The 9,652-nt window shown below is 42.2% G+C and overlaps 1 long non-coding RNA gene across 10 annotated transcripts; it reads left to right on the forward strand.

The window, feature by feature from the left end:
- The first annotated feature begins 889 nt into the window (after positions 1 to 889).
- On the forward strand, positions 890 to 7,051 carry LOC105372522 (uncharacterized). Of its 10 annotated transcripts, XR_001754736.2 has the most exons (5): positions 890 to 1,027; positions 1,177 to 1,222; positions 1,584 to 1,701; positions 3,787 to 4,126; positions 5,911 to 7,051. It is a non-coding gene; the product is annotated as an uncharacterized LOC105372522 (long non-coding RNA). The 10 variants fall into 10 exon arrangements; XR_001754742.2 differs by having other exon boundaries at positions 1,177 to 1,701; positions 3,787 to 3,842; XR_001754739.2 differs by lacking the exon at positions 1,177 to 1,222.
- The last annotated feature ends 2,601 nt before the right edge of the window (positions 7,052 to 9,652 follow it).

The following is a 9,652-nucleotide window of genomic DNA, read 5'->3' on the forward strand; positions in this document are numbered from 1 at the left end:
CTTCCACGTGAACTAATGGAGTGAAAATTCACTTATTACCTCTGGGAAAGCACCAAACCATTCATGAGGGATCTGCTTCCATGACCCAAATACCTCGCACCAGGCCCGACCTCCAACACGGAAGACCAAATTTCAACATGAGATTTGGAAGGCACGCATATCCAAACTATATTAACATTAGAAACCACCTCCTTAGGAATGAGACATCCCTTTGGTGCAAACAAGGATCAATCAGTCATTTTAGAGACTTTTTGAATGTGTAAAAACTGTTTGGGTGGTTAGGGAAGGCAATGTGCACTATCTTATTTGATTGAGGTTATCCACAGTAACCTCGGCAGTGTCTGGCGTTTGGTGATTCATTTGAGACTGGTGTTGGTCCTGAGATGCCTCTTGACGATGAAGCAAGTTGATGTATGTCTAGGGCTTAAAGAATAATTGGCCAGGCGCAGTGGCTCACACCTGTAATCCCAGCACTTTGGGAGGCCGAGGCGGGCAGATCACGAGGTCAGGAGATCGAGACCATCCTGGCTAACATGGTGAAATCCCGTCTCTACTAAAAAAAAAAAAAATTAGCCAGGCGTCGTGGCAGGCGCCTGTAGTCCCAGCTACTCAGGAGGCTGAGGCAGGAGAATGGCGTGAGGCCGGGAGGCGGAGCTCGCAGTGAGCCGAGATCGCGCCACTGCACTCCAGCCTGGGCGACAGAGCGAGACTCCGTCTGAAAATAAATAAATAAAATAAAGTAAAATAAAGAATAATTTCCCCTAAGGACCTCAATAAGAGGCACCTGAATTTCCAGGTAGAAGCTGGGAAGAAGTCGTCCCAGGGGATATTGGGAGGCTGAGTGTTTTTTCAGACAGAATGAACCTTCACTTTCTTTCTGTAACAGTCATGACAAGAAATAATTGGCTTGTGAGAATCAACATTGAAGCTGGAAAAATGATGGCATCCGAACAAGTAGACACAGCCCTAGTCAAGGCAATAAACTACACTAAAGACAGAGGAGAAAGACTCAAAGTTGTTCTAACATGTGAGTACCTAGGGGTGCTGCATGCCGTTGTGTGGTTTGTGTACTGCATAGTTGTACTCAGCCAAGGAAGTGGATGAGGCCACAGCTTTAACATGGGCTGCTGTCTGCCCAGAAGGATAATCTTTTCCTTATTTTATATCTCATTTCAGGGGTTCTCCAACTTCTGAAATCCATCCAGAAACTCCCTGTATTTGGGTAACAGTATTATAACTTTTTGCACCAGGGCTTTTTTGTTTGTTTGTTAATATTAATTGATTTTTCTTATGTTCTTTATGAAAGAATAACTCATCCATTAATGAAACCAAATGTGAACTTAGTGCCTTCTGTGTAGAAAAGGCTAGGAATACATATTGTGGGAGATTCATTACATCACTGGCCTTAATACTACACCTTCTCATGTTCCCCCTTGGCTGTGTAACTTTCTAGTGTCCATATGCTCTCTCTTGGGGTGGCCAGTGTGACTTGCTTTGGCCAATGGGATATTAGCAACCATGACATAACCCGAGGCTTATAAAGTTGCCTGCTCATTGGGACTTGTTTCACTGTTGCATCCCAGTTATTCACATCACTCCAGCTGACAGCCAACCAACAAACAGCCAGACACGTGAGCCCAACCAAGATCAGAAGAACTGTCCCACTGAGCATAGTCTAAATTGCTAACATGCAAATGCATGGTAAGCGCTACTTGTTTATGGCATTGAGGTTTTCTTGGTTATTTGTTACACAGCTTTATTGTGGCAGTAGATAACTGATACTGATACACGTGGTGAACATGACAGATAAGCTCTCTGTTCTCCCAGGCTTACATTTTAATGGGGAAACAAGATAATAAATGAACAAATAAAGGAACAAATGAACTAGAAAAAATAGCTGGGGTAAGTGATATCACAGAATTACATCAAAACAGGAGAGGGGTGGTAGAATTAGTTAGGGCCTACACAATGGCTTTACTTTTGATGCTGAAGGATGATCTTAATTAGTTTAAGATCTGAATGAGAAGAGTCAGCCAGGCAAAGACCAGTGAAAGTAACAATCTAGACAAAAGGACTAGCTAGTGCCAAGGTCCTAAAAAGGGAATGAACTTGGAGAATTCTAGAAACAGAGAAAGCCACTAGGCTTGTGGTGTAGGGAGTGAGGCAAAGAGGAGCAGCACAAGATCAGATCAGAAAGGAAGACAGGATAAGATCAGAGAAGAAGACAGGCCAGATTACACAAGGTTTGTAAGCCAAACAAGGAGATTAGAGTACCCACCAGAGATGGCCTTTATGTACACACCATAGATGGCCTTTGCATTCCCACCAGAGATGGAGTTTGATGTCTTTTGTCTCAGGCCTGGGTCAGAGCACAAAGCAGCAATAACAGAGAAGCAAAAGAGACATTGTTGGAAGAAAACAATCCCATTCCTGGCTTCTGTAAATGGAATAGGAGGGGACACAGAGGCAGATTCCTGGGGATGGAAGAATGGGAAGGAGGGGAAGAGGGAGGAGATTCCCCTAGACTGGGCAGCAAAGGGAGGTCAGAAGGTCTGCCCCTCCAGAAGAGGCCAAGGCAGAGCCTTCAGGAGGGACAGGAACTCCTGGGGCACCTGCAAGGACACCTAGGATACCTTCTCTAGGCACTGCAGCCCTGGCCTTGGCAGGTGTACTTTGTCTAGAAATTGCAGGGAGCCTCCATGGTCTCAGTTTCCAAGCACCATGGAAACTTCCCAAGATGCCATTCATTGTGACTCTGGCTCAGACAATGGGCATATTAGGGAAGCCAATGTGCACCATCTTATTTGATTGATATTATCCACAGTAACCTCAGCAATGGCTGGTGTTTCGTGATTCAGCCTGTGTGGAATAAGGAAGGGAGAGGCCTTGCCAAATATTTCTGTGCCCGAGACCTCCCCTCCTCTGTAGCCAGAGTTGCCATGACCTTGTAGCTGAGGCTGGGGCTCAGAGCCCCAATTCTGACTCAAAAGAGTGTCCAGGAACCCAATGCCATGAGGCTCAAGGTCAAGTAATTTGATTTTTAAGAAAATTAAGAAATGTGCCCTCTTCATCTCAAAAACACTATGTTGAGTGAAAGAAATCAGACACTTAAATGATATTCAAGAACAGGAAAAACTCACCTATGATGATAAAAATCAGAACAATGGTTTCCTCTGAGGGTTGAGGCAGGGGCCGAGTGACTGGTAGGGGCATGAGGAAACTTCGGGGGTGATAGAAATGTCATTCTCTTGAGCCACATGAAGCTTTCAGGTCTTGAGCTAAATGTCACCACCAAACTGTACACTTAAGATTTGTCCATTTCACCGTATGTAAATTTTGCTGCTATAAAGTATTGACTTGAGTCTCCTGTGGCAAGGAAGGAAGGAAGGAAGGATGGAAGGAAGGAAGGAAAGAAGGATGGAAGGAAGGGAGAAACAGAGGAATGAAGGCAGGAAAGGAGAAGGAAATAAAGGTGCACGTGTTGCAGATCCCAGGCTGTCACCCATTGCACACTTTCCACCTGTTTTTTCCACAAAATAAGCACCTAGTTTGTGAGAGGTTGTGCCAAGCATCTAGTCTGTGCCAAGTGGCCAGAGAGAAAAAATATGTAAACAAAGGGTAAGCATACAAAGCTCAGACCTGGGCAGTATTAGTTCTATCCAAGGGTGAAGGAGACAAGCTCTCAGAAAGATTTAAAGGGGAGAGAAAGGGTCATGAGGGCTGGAGGGATGGGGATTCTCTGAGATCTGAATTCACCTTGCACTTCTTTTTCTTTTTGAGAAACAGACCACAGCAAGGTAATCTTACAGCCCAGGACTCAGCTGCTGCAATCTCTGTGAAAGGTACTTATGACTAATGCTGATGCCACCATGAAGCTCAGGAAACAATTTACAGGGACATGGGCTGTTCTGAGACCCCACAGCCATGAATCGCCTAATCATTCTGACAGATTTCTGCAGATGCTGTGCTCAGGTCACTGAGTTTCCCAGTTGTCAGTGGTGAACTGGAGCGGAGGCAGAAGGAAACTCTTCAGACACACTGTTCCCTTCAGGAAACAAGGGACAAAAGGGCTGCCCTGAGGAGACTTGGGAAAGTGACATTTCCTCAGGCTCGAGGACATCCCGAGGTGACTTTCCAAAACACTGGGTTAAATTGGCCTGATTGTTTATTTTCCTCAGCTCGCTTTAGAAAAAAAAAAAGTCCATCTGTCCTTTGATATCAATAAAAAGAGCATTTGAGACTATTAAAAACACTGATGGAGATTTGTTTGGGAGAACGGAAAATCGTGCCACCATTGAAAATGGCAACACACACAACCTTCCATATGGCCATTTCTCTGCCTCAGTACTTCCAGGCTGAATTTCTTGTCAGCTCCAGCTTCTCGCCATTTTGTTCTCAGGGAAAAAAACTCAGGAACTATCCATTCCCATGTATTTAAATGAAAACTTCCCAAGATGCCATTCATCTTGAGTCTGGAAGCAAAATGTAAACATGTTTCATAAGGAGTATTTTGCCGACACCCTATAATCTGGTTTATGACACTGCTTTGTCAAGAGGCAAAGGTTTATTCCCTCCTTTTCAAATGAATTGGAGATGTTCTAAGTCAGTGGTTCTTGAAATGTGGTCCCTGGACCAGCAGCAACAGCATCACCAGGGAACTTGTTACAAGTGCAAATTCTCAGCCAGGGGCAGTGACACGCAGCATAGCAAGACCCTGTCTCAAAAAAAAAAAAAAGAAAGAAAGAAAAGAAAATCCTCTGACTGCAGCCTAGACCTACATAATCAAAAACCCTAGGGGTGTGCCCAGTAATCTGTGTTTTAGCAAGTTCTCTAATGCAGTTTTGAAGAACCAAGAAGCTAGGCTCTCTCAGTTCAGGATTGAATTCAGCCTCGATTAAAAACTTTCAAAATAACAGTGACTTAAACAAAGCAGAAGTTCATTTCTCTAACACATAAAAGAAGTCCAAAGGTAGATGTTCAGGGCTAGTATGAAGGCTCCATGGTGACAGAGGAAACCTAAGTTTTTTCTATTTTTCTGCTCTGCTATCCTTTGTGTATGGTTTTTTATTTCAAGCTGGCTTCATGGTTCAAAATGGCTACAGGAGCTCCAACCATTACTTCTCTGTTCCAGGCAGAAAGCAGAAGTTGGGGGATAGAGCAAGCAAGTAGGGTCTACTCCTGCTGTTTGTGTCCCTCTGCAGGAATTTTCTCAACAGTCTCACCTAACAATTCCATTTATATTTTTGGCCACCTATAGCTGTTAAGAGAAGCTTAGAAATACGGTCTTTTATCTTAAATTAAAATTGTCATTACTGATAGGTAACTCACTTTCTCTGCCACCATGATTCCAGACCCTCTTCCATATAAATAAACATAATTCCAAATACAAAGCGAGGTTAAACTCTTCTATCCCAAGGAAATATCAAACATGAGTATGACTACATTTTTAGTAATTTTATGAAAGAATAGTAAATGATATATTGAGAATCTCATAAATGATCTTATTTAAACTTTCCATTTCACAAATGAACAAACTGTGGCCCAGAGAGGGAGATTTTCATGTCCGTAAGAGCTGGTGAGAAACAGACCGGGGTGCTAGAACCTGAAGGAGCTAGGAATAAATCCAAAGCTTCCTGAAATGTATGCCAAAGCAGTCGTCTCATAGGAGACTCCATGGACAAAAATCTCCATGATCAAGTGTTGTCAGTTAACATTACAAAGAACTTGGAGCCCATTAAGATTAAATTTTTTAAAAAAACAGGCTGTTCTTCATACTCAACACACAGACTATTTATCACTTAAAGTGAGTTCTTAGAACATTAAAAGTAAAATGGTTGTATCAGAATAAATTTTATTGCAAATTCTCAGGACTTATTTCAGAACTCCTGAAACCTACTTTGATGATTTCAGGTTCTGCTCATGAAACAGAGACAACCATGTGTGGTGCCTGCATTCTTGGCCTGCGGGGAGTGGAAAGGAGACAAAGAGTAAAACACGGTGGGAAAGAAGAAAAAGAGGTTAAGAAAAGCAAATGTGCCTACTCCAGGTAATTTTGACTTAGGGACCCTGATTAACTTACACACTAATTAAACCATTTCCAGATTTTGTGCAGTCTGAAAGCAGCCCATTTTCCCCAACACCAGGTCGCTCAAGATGACCACAGGAAGGTTGTCATCTTCATGTCTAAAAGCCAGTTGACACTCAAGGGTGTCATTTCACTTCAGTGAAATGAGAAGCTTCACAGATGTGTAGACTCTGAAAAATCTAACTGGAAAACAATACAGGGAAATAGCAATACTAGGCATCAAAGCAGCAAAAAAACTACTCAATTATCTGATATGGGGATTATCAATGGAATAAATGTGGGGTTTGTTGTTTGTTGTTGGGATTGTTGTGGGTTTTGTTTCATTTTTTAGGGTCTCACTTTTCTCCACCAATTAGATCTGTGCTGTGAGCCACACAGGTTTTGAGTACATGTTTTGGGACTTTATATCGGTCAGACTTTGCCATGGTAACACTGTGTAACGAGCAGCCCCAAAAATCTCAGTGGTGGTCAAAAGCAAACCTTTATTTCTCATTCATGGGTTTTCAGTTTGTTCAGGCTAAAAGTAAAATACACAGATTCTTCACCTGTCTTTCATTCCATGCTGAAGGAGCAATTGACTGCCTGGGACATACTTTTCTCATAACAGAGGCAAGGGTGAAAAACACCAAGTCATCTTGATTATGCAATCCCATTTTTAATGTAAACAATGTCATGTCTGCTTCTATTTCATTGAGCAAAGCAAGTCATATAGGCAAGCCCAACATCAGTGGGGTGATAAAGCACACTCTCCAATGGAAGGAGGAGGGGAGCATGATCATTTGCTGAACAGTAATGCAAGATAGCACAAGACTTGTCTGGGGTGAGAGAGAGATCAAAGCTGTGGATCCCACCCAGTCTTCAACCAAAGCAATGTGGCTTTGACCTGTTTTCTGTCTTGGACTTGAATAATACTTTATTTGAAAGAAGTGTTAAATTGTTTATTAAAAAAAAAGACAAGTTTGAAAACCACTGTTTCCAAGTCGCTTATTTTGCCAATAAAGAATCTGGGGTCAAAGGGTAAATGCCTTGCTGATTGTATCTGTCTCAGGACCAGGGCTATGAGATTTAAAGTCAACCAGATCTGGATTTTCAAACCTAGCTCTACCATGTTTTAGCGGAGACACTCTGGACATGTTCACTATCCTTTCATCATCACAGGCAAGGGTCTGTCCAGTGCCCTAAGTCCTAGGGCTCTCCAGTTGCTAACCACACTGAAGGGATGAAATGTATGAGTGGGCCCTCCACTGGTGTGATCTGTAATCAGAATGGGAAAGACTCTCTTTGCTCCACCATGTCCGTGGGATGAGATGGAAAAGTGCACCATTCCTGGTGGTGATGCTTCTATTTAAAATACTGCTAAACTGAGTTTCCTTCCTTGCTCTTCTCTCTCCCTTTCTTTGACAAACCTATGCATGACTCGAGTATACAGCTATCTCCCCTAGTGGAGCACAGGCTTTTTGGAGGATAAGGGTCACTCTTTCCATGTTTATTTCTTCCCACGCCTACACCTCACACCTCATTCCAACTCCACAGCACAATAACCATCCTATCTTCACAGCAGCAGAGATTATGTAAATGGTTATAAATTAAATAATATGTTTTCTTCTCCATGACCCTAGTGTAGCATTTTGGAGAAGACATGGCTTCAGGAATGATTTCCCAGAAATTTTGAAGGTCCTTAAAACTAAAGAAGAAAGTCCTGTGATATCTGCAAAGGCTCATTTGCAGAAACTGGCCCAGCCCAAGTGTACAGAAACAAAGAAATGCTACAGCCAGTCAAAACCATTTGGCTCACTGGTTCTTATTTCAAATCAGCAGAATAAACAAACTGCAGTCCAAGTAGGAACTGGTTCTGCTGTCCTCTTCTTTTAAGCCAAGGCACAATGTTTGAATGTTTCAGAAGTTTCTTTCTAATGGGTTTCCTTTTATTGTCTGTGCCAGATGGCCAATGGATCCTAGGCTAGTAAATCAATATGCTCACTTTAAACTCTGACTTCATTTGTTTAGTACTTTCCTGGCATCACTTGTGCATATTATAGGAAGAAAGGTGTGGCTATTGCATTGTTCTATAATAAATCCAGCTGTGTTTTACCCATATTTCTACTCTAAACATTATGACTTCTGGTTATGCACAAGTTGACAATAAGAGCAGGGTGTATGTATACATACATCCCCCATCCACCCAGCACTCCTGGTAAGTAACCAAATCCATCCTCCACCCTGAAATTCAACAACCTGGTAGTTAAAAAGAATTCTTTGAGGCACAATGAAAGACTCATGTCCACACTCTTGTTCTAAGAATTCGTAAGCTGGGATACATTTTACTTTTCTACATCCAGCTCCCTTTTTATATGTGCTTTTCTAAGACCAGGACAATTGATCAAACTATTTATCATGAAAGAGCTCTTCTCACTCTACACATTTCAATTTCACAATATAAAAAAGAAAGAGGTAAAATCGCCAGGGAGTCTTCAACTCATATTGTCACTGAAAGTGTGGGGATTATTCAGACAGACTGCCCCAAACTGGACAACACAGTGATGTCATCCAAGAGAGCCTCATATCTGAACAGACTTGTATTTTTAAGTAGTCAAGGAAAAAGCCTAATCAATAAGAATGAACTTCAAATATGTCCACCATCAGAAAAGCAGGAGACATACAAATATCCAGAACATAATTCTGGAGGTAAGATGGCAGAAGACAGGAGAGCCTGCATAACTGAGCCTTCTGCTCCAGCTGGTGAGGGTCATCTCTTAGCTTTCCTTACAGATTCAAGATGGTGGACTGAGGGTCAACCTCGTAAGGAGAATCATTTTAGAGGAGTGTTTCACTCCATACTTGGCCTTCACATTCCAGCCCAGACATCCCCTTCTTTCTGAAGACTTTCCCTCCTATGTTGGATCTACGAACCTTGCATATGTTCCTGTTGCAGTACTAATCACATAGCACAGTCATTTTTCATGTATACGATTGTCTCTTCTACTAGGTTCTGATCTCCTTGACAGTAAGGACAATGCCAACCTGCCCAAAGAACTTAGCACCATGCCTATTGCTTAGTATAAAATTCTGGGGTGTTCAAGCAGCTCACATCACCTAGTGTCAGTAGATTTCTTTTTCCTTTTGCAACAGTGAAAACCGGGAATCAGCAACTGTAATCTCTTCTAAGGATTTAGAATCAAGAAAATATAGACAAAATTCATCAATGGCTGATTCTATGGAACTGAGGTACTAGTTTACTTGCTTCTTCCTAGCCTAGCCTAATCTCACCCTTTCCCCAACCCCCCTCCCCCATAGCCACAGGTAACAGGTAGGCTCACCTGTCAATGTTCATAGCTCATTGGACTAGCATGGTCATTTAACACACAAGATAGAAAAAATTTGATTATATAATTCAGGATTTTGAATGAAGAAGCCTATAATTTGGTCATGCAGCCTCAAGATGAAACAGCCATTTATTTTTTTATGGCCACAAAGGTTGAAGGATGATTATAGAGAGAACTGGGATGATAAAGCTGTCACATAGAGAGAAGCAGAAAATCGTCTGGTCCATGTGTCTCCAGAGAAGTA

The sequence above is a fragment of the Homo sapiens genome, chromosome 20 (assembly GCF_000001405.40).
Source record: "Homo sapiens chromosome 20, GRCh38.p14 Primary Assembly".
In the NCBI taxonomy this organism is placed as follows: Eukaryota; Metazoa; Chordata; class Mammalia; order Primates; family Hominidae; genus Homo; species Homo sapiens.